This window comes from Homo sapiens, chromosome 2, assembly GCF_000001405.40.
Source record: "Homo sapiens chromosome 2, GRCh38.p14 Primary Assembly".
Taxonomy (NCBI): domain Eukaryota; kingdom Metazoa; phylum Chordata; class Mammalia; order Primates; family Hominidae; genus Homo; species Homo sapiens.
This window is the reverse complement of record NC_000002.12, coordinates 11,976,897-11,995,154: the sequence shown is the minus strand read 5'-3', so window position 1 is coordinate 11,995,154 and position 18,258 is coordinate 11,976,897. Positions and strand designations below refer to the sequence as shown.

At 44.8% G+C, this 18,258-nt stretch overlaps 1 annotated feature.

The window, feature by feature from the left end:
- Window positions 16,917-16,966: an enhancer, noted in NCBI's record as "active region_15331". NCBI's record gives its function as "activates an Ori minimal core promoter by ATAC-STARR-seq in GM12878 lymphoblastoid cells {active_cell/tissue: GM12878}" and the evidence as "EXISTENCE:reporter gene assay evidence [ECO:0000049][PMID:35858748]".

Genomic DNA, 18,258 nt, shown 5'->3' with positions numbered 1-18,258 from the left:
GATTTATCTTCTTAATGCCAACAAAATGGTGTGGCTAGCTTTCTCCCCCACTGAAACTGTCTAATTGATGTTAGTGACTATATTAGTTTGAGTTGCCATAATGAAATACTACAGACTGACTGGCTTAGATAACAGAAATTTATGTTGTCACCATTCTAGAGGCTGGAAGTCCAAGATCAAGGTGTCAGCAGGGCCTGTTTTTTCTGAGGCCTCCCCTGGGTTTGCAGATGGCTGTCTTCTCACTGTGTAACTCACACAGTTGCTCTGAGCTCTGTGTGTCTGCGTCCTCATTTCTCATCTTCTTATAAGGACACCAGACATATTGCATTAGGACCCACCCATATGACCTCATTTTACCTTCCATATCTCTTTAAAGGCTTTATCTACAAATAGAGTCACATTCTGAGGCACTGCTGGTTTGGACTTCAACATATGAGTTGAGGGGCATGATTTAGCCCATAACACTCTGCCCTGTCACTCCACAAAAGTCATGTCCTTCTCAAACACATAATATATTCATCCCATCCCAATATCTGCAAAAGTCTTAACCCATTCCAATATCAACTTCAAAATCTCCTCTAAATATCACCATATCAAGTAATATAAAACTCAAGGTACAATTCATCATGAGGTGAAATTCTTCCTCAACTGTGGACCTATGAAATAAGACAAGTTATCTGCTTCCAAAATGCAATGGGTAGGACAGGCATTGGACAGATATTCCCATCCCAAAAGGGAAAAATCAGAAAAAGGGGTGACAGGTCTCAAGCAAGTCTGAAATTTAGAAAGGCAAATACTATTAGATTTGAAGGCTCAAAAACAATCCTCTTTGGCTCCATTCTCTGTCCTCTGGACCACCAGGGAGGCAGCCCTGTCCCTGAAGCCCTGGGTGGCTGCCCTGCTCCCAAGGCCCTGGGTGGCAGCCCCATCCTACGGGCCAAGGAGGAGATAGCCCCACCTCCTGGAACGCCCTCTGGACCCATGGTGGCAGTGGCAATGGTATCCCTGCTGACCTCTGAACTGCTTTTGCAGTTCTTCTTCCCTCTTTTTGAAGGATAATGCATGTTTACAGCTGTTCACAGCTGGATAGCTCTATTGGTCCATCCCATGGAATCTCAGAAGCCTGATATCCTCCCTTCATTCCGCCCCATCTCTGATCCTTCAGTCCAAGCTGGCAGCATTGCTGCTGAGATGATTGATTGGATCCATGAGTCACACCTGTAATCTCTTCACTGCAGATGATTGTCAAACACAACCTTGATGTTCTCTCCAGAATGCACTTTCTTATTCCTTGCAATATGGATAGACTGAGAATTTTCCACATCTTCAGGTTCTGGTTCCTGTTTGCTTAATAATTCCTTCTTCAATTTCTCTCCCTCCTCTCTCACATTTTACTATCAGCAGCAAGGAGAAACCATGCAGTGCCTTTGATACTTTGCTAAGAATCTCCTCAGCTAAATATCCCAGTCGATCACTTGAAAGTTCTACCTTCCACAAAATACTGAGAAACAATGGAGGCAAGCTCTTTGTGATTTTAAAACAAGGATCATCTTCCCTCCAGTTTCCAATCATATATTCGTTTCTATCTGAGCCTTAACCAGAAGCACCCTTAACGTTCATCATTCTACCAACAGCCTCTTCAAGCAAACTCTGCTTTTTCTAACATGCACCTCAAAAATTCTTTCAGCCTCCACTCATTACCCAGTTCTAAATCCACTTCCCGAGTTTTAGGTATTTGTTAGAGCAGCACCCGAATTCTCAGTACCAAAATTTGTATTAGTCAGAGTTTGCCAGAGAAACAGAACCCTTGAACAACACAGGTTTGAACTGGACAGGTCCACTTATACAGAGATTTTTTAAAATAAAAGTTTCACCAAGTGTGCCTGTTTCTCCTGCCTCCCCAGGAGGACAGAGAGAGCCTTGACAAGTCCAGTATTGGCAGGGTAGGCTGTCAGGCTGGAGACTCAAACTAAGAGTTGCAATTCAAGTCAAAAGGTGGTTTGGTGGTAGAATTCCCTCTTCTTCTAGGGATGTGAGTCTTTTTCTATTAAGGACTTCAAATGATTGGATGAGGCTCACCTATATTATGGAAGGTAATCTGCTTTATTGAAGATCAGGAAATTATTGTCTCACTCTTTAAATGGACAGATGCAAAGCCTGGAATGCACAGAAGACTTGGATGTCTATTGGGGCCTATACTAAGATGCCTTTCATTGGGGAGTGGATGGTATCTTTCTTGTTCTCAACACATGCTAAAGCCAAAGCTTGAGTTATCACCATGAAAATTGAAGTCTAGCAGCAGTAAAGACTTTCTTAAGGCTACTGTAGGAGCAGAAGGAAATGTCACAGTCTCCTCTAGGAATGCCACTACTATTCTTCTAATGACATTGTAACTAACTCTGCTGACAGGCACAGGTCTGAGAAAGATGCTCTCCAGCTCTAAGATCCTATAAAATGTAATTGAAGTTGCTGACCCAAACACAGAGATCATTACTAGTATTAATAAAAGGTCTCTTAAAAGTGGGGGAAAAGTCTTTTCCCTGCTCCACAGTTTAGGCTTAGTAGAGAGGAGATTTAGTAATTTAACCTTGTCTTCTGAGACCAGTGAGATACAGATCTAGGGAGAGGATTTGTACAGTTTCCACCCTTGGAAAGAAAGGAACAGAATGAACTAACCAGCTGCCCAGCACAGGGCTCTTTTCCCATGCATTGTCTCAGTCTTTCCATAAATCCTGCAGCACAGATATTATCTCTACAGGGGAACAGTCGTGAGGGTTGCCAACAACTTGGAAATTAGGGAAGTAAAGTTAATAACAGAGAGTTAATAACAGTATCAGAGACACCAGCTCAGAGCCGAGATGTTGAAAGTTAACTGAAAAACAGAGAATGGCTTGAAAGCCAAGCTATTATATTAATAACTGGAGACATTAATACAGGTGAAGTTAAGCAGGACACCTGGTCATTCCTGGAAGCAGAGTAAGAAGAGCACAGAGTAGTGCCCATATCAGCATATCAGCAATGGCCAGGGAAGAAGCAGGTCTAAGGGCTCAACCCTTGCAGTCTCTGCGGCAAATTTAGTTCAACTACAAAAACGGACGGAAGAGGCTACTGGAGCACAGGGCCATGGGACACTTAAATTATCTAACTGTATATAATCATACTCTGAATGCATTTTCACCAAGGAACTTTGATACTATCATTGACTTTCCCATGTAACTTGCCCACAAGAAGAGAAGTTGCTATTTGACTAGTGCAAATATTTTGGCCAGTGTGACAGATATGTCTCTCATTCTAATTTAATATGCAATGTATTAGGCTGTTTTTGCACTGCTATAAAGAAATACCTGAAACTAGGTAATTTATAAAGAAAAGAAGTTTAGGCCGGGTGCAGTGGCTCATGCCTGTAATTCCAGCACTTTGGGAGGCCGAAGTGGGCAGATCACGAGGTCAGGAGATCAAAACCATCCTGGCTAACACGGTGAAACCCCAACTCTACTAAAAATACAAAAAAAAAATTTAGCCGGGTGTGGTGGCAGGTGCCTGTAGTCCCAGCTACTCGGGAGGCTGAGGCAGGAGAATGGCATGAACCCGGAACCCGGGAAGCGGAGCTTGCCATGAGCCGAGATGGGGCCACTGCACTCCAGCCTGGGTGACAGAGCGAGACTCTGTCTCAAAAAAAAAAAAAAAGAAAAAGAAAAAAGAAAAAAAAAGAAAAGAAGTTTAATTGGCTCACACTTCTGCAAGCTTCACAGGAAGCATGGTGCTGACATCTGCTCAGCTTCCGATGAAGCCTTAGGAAGCTCACAATCATTGTGAAAGGCAAAGGGGGAACAGGCATGTCACATGGCAAGAGCAGGGGCAAGGGAGACAGAGAGGAGTCAGGGGAGGTGTCACATACTTTTAAACAACCAGATCTCATGTGAACTCAGAGCAAGAGCTCACTTGTCACCAAGAGGATGGCCGAAGCTATTCATGAGGGATACACTCCCATGGTCAAAACACCTTCCACCAGGCCCCACCTCCAACTCTGGAGATTACAATCCAACATGAGATATGGATGGGGACAAATATCCAGACTATATCACATTGGAAGTATGGTTTTTACCTCAGCCTTATGAGCTTGGTTAATGCGAGTCTGCACCAAGAAATGGAACACAATCTTAGTGAATTGCCCTTATAACAAGGCTAAAGATCAGACCTTACACCATGAAAAATTCTCGTTGATACTGACTGCCTTGTGAAACATCTTGGTAGACTAACAATGGATGTTGCTTGGCCTTCTCATACGCAATCCTATTTGAAAGTTCACACTATCATATGTGTTGTAACTATCCTTCTCAATAATAATTATTTGTCTAGGAAACTCCTACTTATTCTTTAAAACCTAATAAAATGTCACCACAGCCATCCCTGACTTTTCCAGGCCAGAATTAACCACTTCCTATTTCATAATCCTATACCATTATACACGTTTCTCTGTTCACTTAATATATTGCAGTTTACATAGTTGTCTCTGAGGCCATACTCTGGGCTGTTTGAGAAAAGTAACGAGGTCTTATTTTTTATTCTTAGTTTCTTGAAAACAGCAGGTGTCCAATAAACATTGGTGAATTAATAAACAAGGTAATGTAAATCCCAATGGTTTATTCTAATTTGTGGCAATCAATAATTTAAATCAACTTAATGAAACCACAGAAAAGTAAGTCTAATTTTCTATAACAAGTACTGATTAATTGAACTTCCCTAAAATACAAAATTGGAAAAGGAAAGAAAAAAAAATCAGATTTGTGTAATGACAGAAAAAGCATAAAGTTTGAAGCTGGGGCTATCTGGCAATTATATCCCAGATTTACCTCTGCTACCTTCCTTGAGCCTGAATTTTCCTTACCAAAAAAAAAAAAAAAAAAAAAAAAAAATCTATGGTTGCCAGAAATTAAATAAGATAATGTAAATGTAAATAAAGTAGATAGCAAAGGCCATGAACACAGGGACTTAATAGAATAGCAGGAGCTCAGTAAATGTTAATTCCTTTCTTTTCTGGCCCCCATGAAGCCATTTTCCTGAAAGTCAAAATTAGATAATGCATTATACCAGGATTCTTATTCCCTCAAGATAAGAATTCTCCGCTTCCTAAGGAATGCTTATTCTTTCAACCAGCTGTCCAATGGTCAGAACCTCTCCCCTATCTGACTTTCCCCAAAACAGAAGCGCAGGAAAAAATAAGTAGGTAACTACCAGTAGCAATATCCATTTAACAAAGGTGTGAGGGTAGGGTGGGTCCCAAGGACAAGAACCCTGTCCCAAAATCTGAGTAATAATAACTATTTGCTGCCCAGGAAATTGCCTATGAGCTTGCTGGGTTGAGTGGAAGTGCACTGGCTCCAGGAAGAGGACATTACAGGGCAGCCAGGCTGAGGCACATGGTGTGGGGACCATGGTCACTGGGATCACCACGAGGTCAAGGGATCCCTCAACTCTGGGGCCACAAAAGGCATCCCTGTCCTCTTGGTCATAGACACAATAATAAAATGGGTTTTGCTGTTTTAGACAAATCTGGATATAGGGAGGGGGACATAGTGAAAAGCAAGGAAAAATTCCAAGGCCGTTTCCTCCCAGAGGATGTCCACTTTGACATCCAAGTTGGCCAGGTTGAAGAAATAGCAATCCTTGAAGCATGCTGTCTGTGACAGGGAGGAACTCCTCCTTCACTTCTTGAGTGTTTCAAGATGTATCTTTATAAGTAACAAACTAAAATGAAGATTAATGGGTGGAGGGAGACATGGAGCCAAATCTTACCCCAACAGGAACCACACGGCGGGGCACGCCACAGCCTGGGGAGTTTGGTCGGGAGAGTTGCCGAGATGGCTGTCAGAGCAGCAGAGGAAAGAATCCATCTCCCTGGGCTGGGACCGATTCCTTCTCATCTCCTGGAGGAAGACAAGGATTTCCTCAAATAAAGTGAAAGTCTCCTTTGGTCCAAGGTCACGGACATCCTTGTCCAACTTTGCTTCCGTTTACACACAAGGAAATGAGAACACTGAAGCCGATTAACTAAAGATGAAGTAGATGTGGTCCAAGTGTAAGTTTGAGCCAAAAATGTTCCTTCAAAGTCCAGTCCAAGAAAGCTCTTTCTAGATTTGGTGTCAGCATTTGGATTTTCCCCCAAAGATTTAGTCCATATTCTCAATAAGGAGAGGCTTGGGATTGGGAGGGGTGGAGAATTAGAGATGTAGTGTTGAGAGCACACACAACAGAGCAAGCTCTGGAGTCAGACAACGTTGGCTTCCGATCCTGGCTGTACCGCTAATGACTGTGTGATCTTAGGCAAGTATTTTAGCCTCTCTGAGCCTCAGTCTCCTGTCCTGCAAAAGTAAGCTTGACATCGTCGTTCTCACATTGTTGTGCAGATTAAATGAAATGACATATGCAAAGGTGCATAACACACAGCCCTGGAATGTCATAGAAAACACTCGCCAAATGTTAGTTTCCTTCCTTTTCAAATTACCTATTTAGAATTTCTGAATGTATTCGTACTGAGAAGTACTGTTGAGAAGGGTGTCTTCAATTATACTTTATAGAGAATATGAAACATATGGGAGGAAGATATTGATCCCAAGCTGCCAAAATTATTTTTGTGGAAAGAAAATTCAGAATCACTCCAGATCCATACTGCACTCTTAGCTGCAGGTGCGCCTATGAAGTCTTTGACAAAATTAAGTTGAATATATTCATTATGACATAAATAGAATTCGGGGAGCTACTTCATTCAGGTTGGAGCTATGAGTGGCACCATCTTCTGCAGAATCACTCCATCGGGTATGTATCAACACATTTGAAAATGTCAGACTGAAAAGAGGAAGTTTTCTCTCTGGGATTTGAACACCTGGTGTGAGAAATCTAAGAGAAAGGTAATGGCAGAGAAAGAAGAGATTAATTTTTATTCTTTATGTATAATAAATTCAGTCACCACCAAACAAAGCAATAGGTCTTCCTTTCAATGTTGTCACTTGAAAGATATTATTAAATGGCCTTTTCAAAATAATCCATGTAGCATATTTGCACTGAAATAGTGAGTTTCTGAGACACGCACAGGTAAGAGGGTTAGGTGCTTCACAATGTCATGCAACTCCATCTGCTTAGAAGTGGCTGCTGCTGGGAACTGTGAAATCATGACGTTAGTGTACTGCAGGGGCCAGGGGGCCAGAGGGAGAAAATGAGCATTTATTGATTGTTCTGCTATGTGCCTGGCACAGGGTTTGGCACTCAGAGATGTTATATTGCTTGAAATGCACCGCATTTTTGTGAGGTCGAATTACCACCTCATTCTAGAGAGGAGGAAATTGAGTCCAATGAAATTAACTAACGAGTTGATGGCAAGGGTTGGATTTCAGCACGAATTCGTCTCACTCCAAAGCCAAGCCTTTTCCATGGCCACATTGCCTGCCCAAGACCCCAAGTGGGCTCCATTCACCCCACTCTTGCTCTAAAGTTGAAGAATTTCCAGCCCAGAAAGCTGAAGTATATCACTTTAAGTCAAACTGAACTCATCCTCAAGGTTGAAGTAGAACGCAACGTCTGTAAATGCTGGCAGAGTTCATTTTCCTCCATGTCTCCCTCATGGAAAAGGCCACTGGACATGGACATCATGAATCTGGTTCTCCCCTCCCCAGTCACCTCCAGCTCAGTCAATAGAACCACCACGTGGAACCACCACAGGCTCCAGGCAACCTTGGCATCCTCCTACAGCTCACACATCAGCACATCTTAGTATCTTTACCTTCAAAAGATCCCTCAAGTCCACCCACATCCCACCCCCTCCGCCATCAGCCCCACTCCATGCCCCCACCATCAGCTTTTGCCTGATGGTTGCAGTCTCCTAACTGGTAGCTCAACTCCTCCTTGTAAACCCTACAAGAGCCAATCCCTCCAGATGGATCCTGAGTAGCTAACCAGGCCTAAATTCAAATTACAGACGAGCAGCCATTTGTTGACAGGAGGTCAGGCATGTACTCTGCATGCCCAGAAAACTCACATCATCAAGTAACTTTGGGAGTTTCATAGCTGTCTGTTCCTGCTCATGCCGCCTGCATCAAAGGTGCTGGAAAATCCCATTTTGCCTCCTATACCTAATCAACGGACTGTGACCTGTGTCAGCCAATCAGAACCAAACAAGTTTGCATCCTTCTTTTGCATAGTGAACCAGAGTGGGAACCTGGGCAGGAACGTTTTCTATAAGAGACAGCCCCTCTCTTTGTTCTCCCAAAACGCCCCTCTGTTGTGTTCCAAAAGCTGCCACTCCCAGTTTGCAAACTACACTGGAATTAAGTCTCATTCCTTTAAAAAACAAAATCATTTCAAGGGATTTGTTGACGTACTCTTCACTCTTTCCTGTCTGGTTTTAGAGCAGCTTGAAGACATTTTCCTTCACTCTCTCACTCATTCACTCATTCAACAAATATTTTTGAGTACCTATTGTGGGCCAGGCACTGTTATAAGTGGGAATTCAGCAGTGATAAAAATAAGCTAGAATCCCTGACCTCACGAAGCTTACAGTTTAAAAAGGGGAACAGGCAATTTACAAAGTATGTAAAACATAGAGTAAATTATATAGTGATACCTTCCAGGAAGAAAAACAAAGCAGGAAAGGGTGCCAAAAAAGTCTCTCTAAGAAGGTAACTTGGCTGTGAATGCCCAAGGGAAGGGAGGAGTGAGCCTGAGCTTTGTGTCTATTTGGGAGAAGGACGTTCTGTGCAGAGGGGACCCAGCGCCAGGGCCTGGGACAAAAGCAGGATGGGCACATTCCAGGAATAGCAGGGAGGTGGGGCCAGGGCTAGAACAGAGAGAATGAGGGGAGAGAAATAGGAGACACCTTAGAGGAAGCCCTCCAATGGTAAAGAGTTACCCTTGGCTGAGCCCCACACACATACCAAAAATCCTATGGAGCATTTTGCATTTATTTATTTATTTCTAATTCTCATAAATCAATAGCCTTCAAAATATCCTTACTTTTCAAATGAGAACATTGAGATTGGGAAATGTTCAGTGACTCGCCCAGGGTCACACAGAGCCCAATCTGTCTAATTTCATTGCACTATAGCTGCTTCTCTATTGATCTGGGTTTGTGCCATGATACTAAGTCAGGGCATGGCTTAAGCAAAATCCGCTTGGCTCTGAGGTCAATCACAGATTGAATTATGACCTCAGTTCTGAATTAGAAAGAGCTGCTAAGAGCAGACTGTGAGCTGAAACCAAAACTCACTGTGAACAACAGCCTTAATTGGGCTCTATGTTCTTAGAGACTTGAGGTTCAATTTCCATGGACTTCAGTTTCTCCAGTGTAAAATGAGATTGGAGTTCATCAACTGGTCTCTAGGCTAGAAAGGCCCTTAGAGATCATGCAATTCAACATCCTCATTTGCAGAAGGTGAGACAGTCTCAAAGAGGAGGCATGACCAGCACAAGGTCACAAGGTGGGTCAAAGGCAGAGCTGGGACTCCCACCCAACTCAGTGCTCCCCCCACCTCAGGGCACACACCTGCCCCCGTGGAGACATGTGAATGACCCTGCCTTTGATTCAAGGTACTAGAGTAAGGGGAAGGGAATGAAAACTGGGGCAAGTGTTTCAAGTGAGTCCTTGAAGGAAGCTTCCCTACCCTGGCACAATGCTCAGTCCTTCCTCACACCTGGTAGCAGCCCCCAAAATGATATGTCCGCATTCTAATAGCTGGACCAGGGGATAATACTTAATATAGCAAAAGATGGGATTAAGTTTATGGTCTTGAGAGGAGGAGGAGGAGCTCATTCTGGATTATCATGGGGGGTCCTAAATGCACTCACAGGTGTCCTTCCTGAACAGCAGTAAGAGTCTTGGGACAAGGGAGGCAGAGAATGAAGTGGTGGAGCCATCAGCCAAGGAATGCCTGGAGCCACCAGCAGCTGGGAGACACAGGGAACGGATACTCCCCTAGAACCTCTGGAGGGAGCACAGCCCTATTCATACCTTAATTTCATTTTCTGCTCAGTGAAACCGATTTCAGACTGCTAGCCGCCAGAGCTGTGAGAGTAGACATTTCTGTTGTTTGAAGCCCCAAGTTTGTGGTAATTTGTTCCAACAGCCCCAGGAAACGAGTTACCCCCATCTGCTAACTTCTTGCTGTTTTCCCGACCTCTTGCCACTCTGTCTACTCCCTTGTCTGAATGGCCCCAGACTCCAGCTGCAGATACCTTATCCCCCTCCACTGCCGCTCTCCCCTCAGCCTCAGCCCTTACCTCTCCAGCTTACTCTCTCTTCTCTGCCCCTTGCCACTCATCCTTCCCAGCTCTTCCAGTCCCCAGAACCTCCCTTCCCAACAGCAGCTCCCCAAGGCACCCCCTCCCCTTCTGCCTGAGACAACAGTGGGCTGGAAGCCTCTTCCAGCAGCGTCACAAATCTTCATTAGGGCCATAACGATCACTAATGTGCTGGAACCGCAATGGTCTGTTAGCAAGCTTTGTCAGCGGCAGCATGAGGGATGAGGGCCCGGCTGCCAACCAGCCCCCGCCCCCCACCCCTGCCCCCCAGTTGTCATTGCCTCGCTGGTGAGTTTTATGAATGAAAGAAAGTACGATGGAATTGCTATTAGGATGAACTCAGCGCTGGGCCAGCATGGGGGCTGCAGCTCCCTCTCTTAGAGTGGGCAGAGCTGCTCCTCAGTACCGTAAGAGGCACCACCGTTAGTAAAGCTCCCTCTAACCATCCAAACCAGACCACGAGCAATCCAGGAGGCTTCCCACATAAAACAGGAGACGCTCAATTAAATTTGAATTTCAGATGAGCAACAAATAAGTATGAACCATGCAATATCCAACACATATCTATGCTACAAATGTATTTATTTTTTATCCGGAAGTCAAAGTTCAGATACAATTGGGGCATCCCCTATTTTTATTTGCTAAATTCTGGTGACCCTAGACCTGGCCGGGGTCTCCGCCTGGCAGCTCTGGTCAGTGTCCCTTATTCACCACATCACAGCCTACCTTTAACAGCAGCATCCGCCCAGACCACCAGGAGCAGCACTTGGACAGAAGCCAAGGAAGCTGTGGCATTTTGAGGATTTGCTAGAATTCTGAGAGGCCCAGACAGGTAGGCTCACGAACTGAAACTTCGGCAGAGACAAAGAACTGATGTGCTGATGTGGTGGCCATGGAAAGCGGGAGACAGTAGGAGATGGCTAGGAAAGGCTGTGCCACAGTCGTGCGATTCATCCAATCCAGCCACCACGTGCTCCACACAGCACTGCCAGCACAGAATGGAGAAAAGCACAGTCTCTGTCCTGAGGGAGGCAAGGAGGATGCTGTGCAATTTCCCTCCCTAATAACCCTGAGGTGAGTGAGGGTGGACTCACCCTCACTCACTCTCTACACCTCCTCCCAGCTCCTGAAATCAGCGGCTGTTCCCACCGTCCCTCACCTGCAATCTCTCACACCAATCGGCATTTCTGTAACTGTGGTGCTCTGCTGTAAGCCCTTGTCCTGTCCCTCCACTTTGGATCATTGCCCTCCATAAACTTATTCTGTTTCAGGTCACCTGCCACCCAGCTGCCACGTTTCTGGCTCTAAGAAACCACAAACTAGATGGAGCAGCTCTTTTTACTGCTATTGATTGTCTCCCCTTTGCCTGCCCAATGAAGACCAAACTCATGGCATGGCACTTAGGAGCCTCTGAGCTCAGCATGGTCCCACCTCATCTCCCATTTGCCTCACTAGCCACCCAGTGCTAGAGGCAGTGGGATGGCAAGGTTCTAGAAAGTGATGTGGGTGAATTTCTTCCTCCTGCTCCTCTTAGAGAATCTGAGACCCAGAAGCTCTGGCTAAACCTTTATTATCCAACTTAGCCCAACATGACCTGAGAGAGATCTCTACCCCCTCCCCTAGCCTGCCTGGATAAGCCCATGCCAGGAAGTGTAGAGCCCCCAGGATGCTCTGGCCTGGCTCAGTGAGCTCTCTCACCTCTGCCTGAGCCACAGGTGATTTCAAAACTGGCCCAAAACAGTAAGGCAAGCAAGAGATGGGGCTGGGTGTAGAGCCAGGCAACCCGACTCCAGAGCTGGTGCCTTCAGTTGCTCTACTGTGCACAGCCCTGGGTGCTTCTTCACATGTATGGGATGTCTGTGTACAGGCAGCACTGGAGAGAGGAATCCACATCTGCTTCTTAAGGCCATGGGTATACAACTACCCTATCTCTGAAATTATACTACAACTCTGCAGGCCCCCAATTTTCCTCTCATTGATCCCCTCAGCATCTTTGTCTTTCCACCTATGTTAAAGTAAGCTGACTGTTAAGAGTCGCACACCCGGCCAGGTGTGGTGGCTCATGCCTGTAATCCCAGCATTTTGGGAGGCCAAGGCAGGTGGATCACCTGAGGTCAGGAGTTCGAGACCAGCCTGGCCAAAATGGTGAAACCCCGCCTCTACTAAAAATACAAAAATTAGCCGGTCATGTTGGAGGCACCTGCAATCTCAGCTACTCAGGAGGCTGAGGCACGAGAATCGCTTGAACCCCAGAGATGGAGGCTGCAGTGAGCTGAGCTTGTACCACTGCACTCCAGCCTGGGATACAGACTGAGACTCTGTCTCAAAAAAGAAAGAAAAAAAAAAGAGTCATGAGTCACACACCCAAAATTTCTGCGACTTAGCAACACAGGAAGGGTTTTCTTGTTGTTCATTTCAACACTTTGGTCTGGGGAGCTTTGCTCCAGGCAGTCACTCAGGGCCCCAGGCTGCTTTCATCTTGTGGTTCCAACATCCTCTAGGTCCTTGGAATTCTCTTCATTCAGAAAGTAAATGAGGTAAGGATTATATGTACAAGGTTTTTATGAACCAGGGCTGCAAGTGGGGCATGTAGTGGACATTGTGATATGCCACCCAGATGCCCCATCAGGCTGAAGGGCTGACTTCCTCAGTCAACAGGAGTATTGCTGGAAGCTCATCTTTACCTTAAATCACCTTCCGGAAATGTCCTGGGCTGAAGGGAGTTGCCTCACACAAGGTCTTATCCCATTTCTAGGGCAGATGACTGGTCAACACAGGGGTCTAAAGGCCTAGCTCCATCACCCTATCCTGCACCCCAGTGCAGAAGAGCCATCCCAGCCTTAGAGTTCTGCCTGGTCAGCTGAGGCCATAGCTGAGTCGGCATCACTCAGTCATCACAGTCTAACTTCTCCCTCCTCCCACCTGCTTCCTTCTCTTCCCTGTAGTTGGTCTCAATCTCAAGAGCACTCCCAGATTAACCTGCATGCTGATCTCTAGTTCAGAGGCTGCTTCCCAGGAGGCCCAAACTACATCTGCGCAGGTCACTTCTGCTCACATTGCACCAGCCCAAACTCGGGACAGTAGCCATACTGAGCTGCAAAAGAGCCCAGAGAGTATAGTCCTGTGGTCTATGCAGGAAAAGGGAAGAGCACGGGGACCAGCAAAGCACATGCCCCTTACCTTACACAACCTTTCAACCTTACAGAGCCCTATGATGGAATGGCCGGAGGGAGCATCTGAAAGTGAAAGTGGAGGAAACATTTGAACCTGAGATCATGAATACAAAGTACTGGGCTTGGAATCAGAATGTGGGATTTGAGCCCAGCCCTTCTACTTTCTAGGATCAATAAAATGTTATTTTTCTTTCTTCTGTAAATTTCATCCTCAAATCTATAAAATGAGACTAAAAATAGTGGAAGACAAAGCAGCTATTATAAGGATCAACAAGAAAATCTATGCAAAATCAATCATCCCAGCAGTTGGTAAGAAAAAAGTCCCTCTGTGGATACTTGGTGGGTCCAAATCTGTCTCCTGATGTCCGCTTGATCCATGTAAAAACAGTGACTTCTTTGACCCTAAACTTGTGGGTTGGGGCACTCAGGAATCACATCCTATCAAGAGTTGACCAAGTGAAAATGAACTAGCAAGCTGGAGGATTAAATATCATCCCTGTTTTGCTTTCTTTCTAACAAAACTGAAAATGTTTTCCTTTGGTATTAAACCACTTGATCTCGACTCCGGATTCTGCAACCTGAGCTGCCCCGGAGTTCTGTGGTTTGCATGAGTTGGACGGGGATCTGATGCCGGGATCTGGCGTCTGCTTGAGGTGGGCCTTTGAAGGCAGGAATGAGACTTGGCTGGCTTGGAACTAGAGGTTCTTCCAGGCTTCGGGCATGCCACTTCAGACGGTACAGCTCTCGTGGGAAGAGGCCAGCTGGGCAGGACAGACTGGGCAGGGGGTGAGACTGCTTCCTTCTTGCTTCATGATTTGAAACCAAACCAGTATAAACCTACAATATAATCAGAGCATTGAGAGGGCCTAGGAATGGAATCCTATCTACACAATACCCAGGAAAGAATGCTGGGATATCAGAGGCCCTAATAATTCACAGCCAAGGTTTCTGAGCCCGATCTTGGGGCATCCAATGGGAGTCAGTGGGGAATGATACCATTTTGCCCACAGTGATTAAGATCATGGGTTGTAAAGCAAGATCACCAGCATTTAAGTTCTGATTCTGTGGCCAGGCATGGTGGCTCACGCCTGTAATCCCAACACTTTGGGAGGCCGAGGCGGGTGGATCACGAGGTCAGGGGTTTGAGACCAGCCTCGCCAAGATGGTGAAATCCTTCTCTACTAAAAATAAAAAATCAGCTGGGCGTGGTGGCAGACGCCTTTAATACCAGCTACTTGGGAGGCTGAGGGAGGGGAATCGCTTGAACCTGGGAGGCAGAGGTTACAGTGAGCTGAGATGGTGCCATTGCACTCCAGCCTGGGCGACAGAGCGAGACTCTGTCTGAAAAAAATTAATTAATTAATTAATTAATTCTGATTCTGCTTCTTCTAAGCTGTGTGAATGTGTGCAAGCTGGTGACCTAACTCTTCTGTGACTTAGTATTCCCATCTCTAAAATGAAGATCAAAATGGTACCTACATCATCATGCGAACATGAAGATTAGATGGAAGATATCCATGAACTCTTTAGAAGAACCTGGCATTCAGCAACCATACAATGGAGTTAGGTGCTATGGCTGCCGCAGCTGCCGCTGTTGTGATAATTATTATACTCAATATTATGAAAGGGTAGCTTCATTTGCTTGCTTATGTACTCATAGAGATTTCCCTATCCCTTGTCAGTGCTAGACCCTAGACAGGGAGGCCTGGTCCCTGACCCAGAGCTGCCCATGGTCTGCTTAGGTAACAATGAAAGCAAAGATGATTCTGCCTTGACTCAGTTGCTGAAGGTGACAGGATGGCACAGATATAAGGCTCCTACCTAATCTATCCTGCAGGCATGCTGCTGCCACACTTCATTAACCTAACAAAGAACTATGATTGCTGATGGAGAGACAAGTAGGCCCTTCTGTGAAAGGAGAAATGGGAGGTGGAATTTGAATGGACTTTCTGTGTAGAAGGCTCAGAGGTGATTGTGCTACTGACAGAGGCCTGGGAGTCCCTCTGCTGCCGTCCTACACCCACCCCGCCTGCCCTCTGACGGGGGAAGCAGAATCATAGGTTCTCAAGACCAAAAGGCAACTTCAAGGGAAGAAGTGCGGATGCGTTTTAGAGAGGCTTCATTTTGTTCTCGAAATCAAGATCCCCCATGTTCAAGCTCTACTAACCTCCCTGAGACTCATGTTCTTATCTACAAAATGGGGGTACTTGATCATAAACTGTTGTAACAATTACATTAAAAGATGTTTAGTTATTTATTTTTTGTCATTTACCCTAGATTATTTCACACCACAAAGGGTATTAAACATTTATCAACCCACATATGAGGCAGCAAGAAAAACAAATAGCAAAGAGGAGAAACCACGAATAAAAGGGAAAAAAGAAAGGCAAGGAAAATATCAGTCCACATAACTGCATTCCCTGTGATTCTAGGACAGAGAAAAGCTACAGACTTTGCTTTGAGCTTTCTAGTGGTCAAAGAGAAAAATAGTTCAGTTTCAATTAATTTTGTCAATTACAAAATTAATGTGTCCACAAAATGAAAACAGACTTGTTGTTCAGAAATGAAGCATGTGTTCTAAAGCTCTTAGCATCTACTTTAAAAATATGCTAGCAGCTACTGTGAACTGCCACAACTTTTACCATCATCATCAAATACGGTGTTTTTTAAAAATAAAGACTGGAAAGTTACTTGTGTGTCCACAGTCAGAAAACATTTTCGAAAAAAACAGAATAAAACATAACAAAAAAAGAATTTTTATGAAACATTTGTTTCAATTTTATATATATATATATACAGGGAGGGAAAAGAGAGAGAACTGAGACTGTGATGTAAAACATGCCTTGTGATTCATGTTCAACAAAGTAGATCACACCATCACCTGGCCATGCTTCCCTCCTGTCCAGCCATCCTCCAAGTGAATGTCCACCTCTGCTTCAACACCAAAGCACCAGAGCTTGGCCCAGACCCTTTCCTGGGCAGGACTCTATCACTGACCCTCTCAGTGATTAAAAAAAAAAGATTCTTCCTTTGATCTGAAATCTGTCTCCCCAGAATTGTGATGCACCAAAATGTTACCACACATTCTGAAGCAAGTTAATTTCCATTCATTTATTTTATATTTTATTTGAATTCTTCGAAGGCCCTTCTTTGAGCAGAGCTCTGGCCTACCCCCTGGTGAAGTCAGAGAAACAGAGACGCACAGGCCATGATTTCTTGCCACCAGCAAAGCCTAGGGTCCCCTGGGGAAGACACATGAATGTACCAACAGCATATAAGAGAGAGTCATACAAAGAATCCAAGGACCTTACTAGGTGTGGGCTGACAAGCAAATCAAGCAGAAGTAGGTTTCAGATGGAGGCACGGGGGCTGGCTGCACAGGCCAGGAGAGTGACAGGATGTTCTGCTTGAATGGGGGCAGAGCTTAGCCCTGAGCGAGGGACCACACCATGGTCGATGGTAGAAAGTCACTCTATGTCTAGAAAAAGGTGAGGGGCATTCCAGGAAGAGTTCTCCTCAACAAATGATGGAGGAAACCATAGAAAAGACAAACAACTAAAAACTGTAATCCAGGTTATCTGTTCCTGTGTCTCTGTAATTAAATTAACATAGAGCAGATAACTATAAATGGTTTATTGCAGAGACTGTCAATATAGGAGGAAAATCAGACCTCCCAGGCCAGCCTGGACTAGGAACCCACGTGAACCAATCAACTGTGATCAGGGTCAGGGCTATGTCAGAATATGGCAGCTCCTGCAGGAGCCACACAGCTGGAGGGAGCATGCTGGACACACAAAGAGCAGGTGTTCTCAGAGGAGAGCTGGCTGGGAAATTAAAACTTTGGGTGGAAGTGGGGGTCAGGGTGCCTTCTGCGGAGTAAGCTCCTGCATGGAAAGAGGCATGCGGTATAGAGGAAAGAACGTTGAAATTAATTCAGGGGTCCTGCTCCCACCTACAGCTGTATCATCTCAAGCACGTCACTATCTTTCTAATGCTCAGTCTCCATTCCCGTAAAGTGGAGGTAATGTTCTCACCTCTGTCCCTCACACAGTTGATAGCCAGATGACATTATGGCTGGGGAAGTGCTTTGTTCATTGTAAAGGGTCCTGTCCAGGTAGGGAGAGGTTAGACGTTTAAGTAAAAGCTGAATAAAAAATAGCCTGCTGTCAGGAATATGACAGAAGAAAGGCCAGCTCCATTGAGAAGCTAAGCTGCATGCTCCCAGGGGTCTTCCATCCCTGTGACACCATGAAATGTTAAGAGACTAGCTCTATCCATCACCACACTTCTGCCAACAAGATTCCCAATTCTCAGCCTCTTTGATTTCTATTCCCATTGAAATTGTTTTCCTTCATGAGCAGGCCCTCATAAAGACCTATATTTACTAAATCAAACTCACTTTTTAAAATTTATTCCACCCAGAATTTTGTATTTGTCACCAATCTCAATGATGTTTCTCAAAAGAACAGCTATTGATCAAACACGGTACTCTACTAAACAATGTCATGATATAATATAGTCCGCATGCCATAAAGAGAAATGTTGGCTATTTTGGAGTCAAGCTTCCTGGATTTCGAATCTCAGCTCTACCATTTATTCATTATGTGATCTTGGGTAAATTTAGTCAGTGAGCCTCAGTTTTGATATCTGTTAACTAGATAGAAGAATACCCACTTTGAAAGTTTGTGACAATTACAGTTATGACGTTATTAAGATTGTGAAGATTATAGACAACTTACGTAAAACATCTACTATGATGTTTAGCTCATAGTGGAGCTCAAAACATTTATTTTTA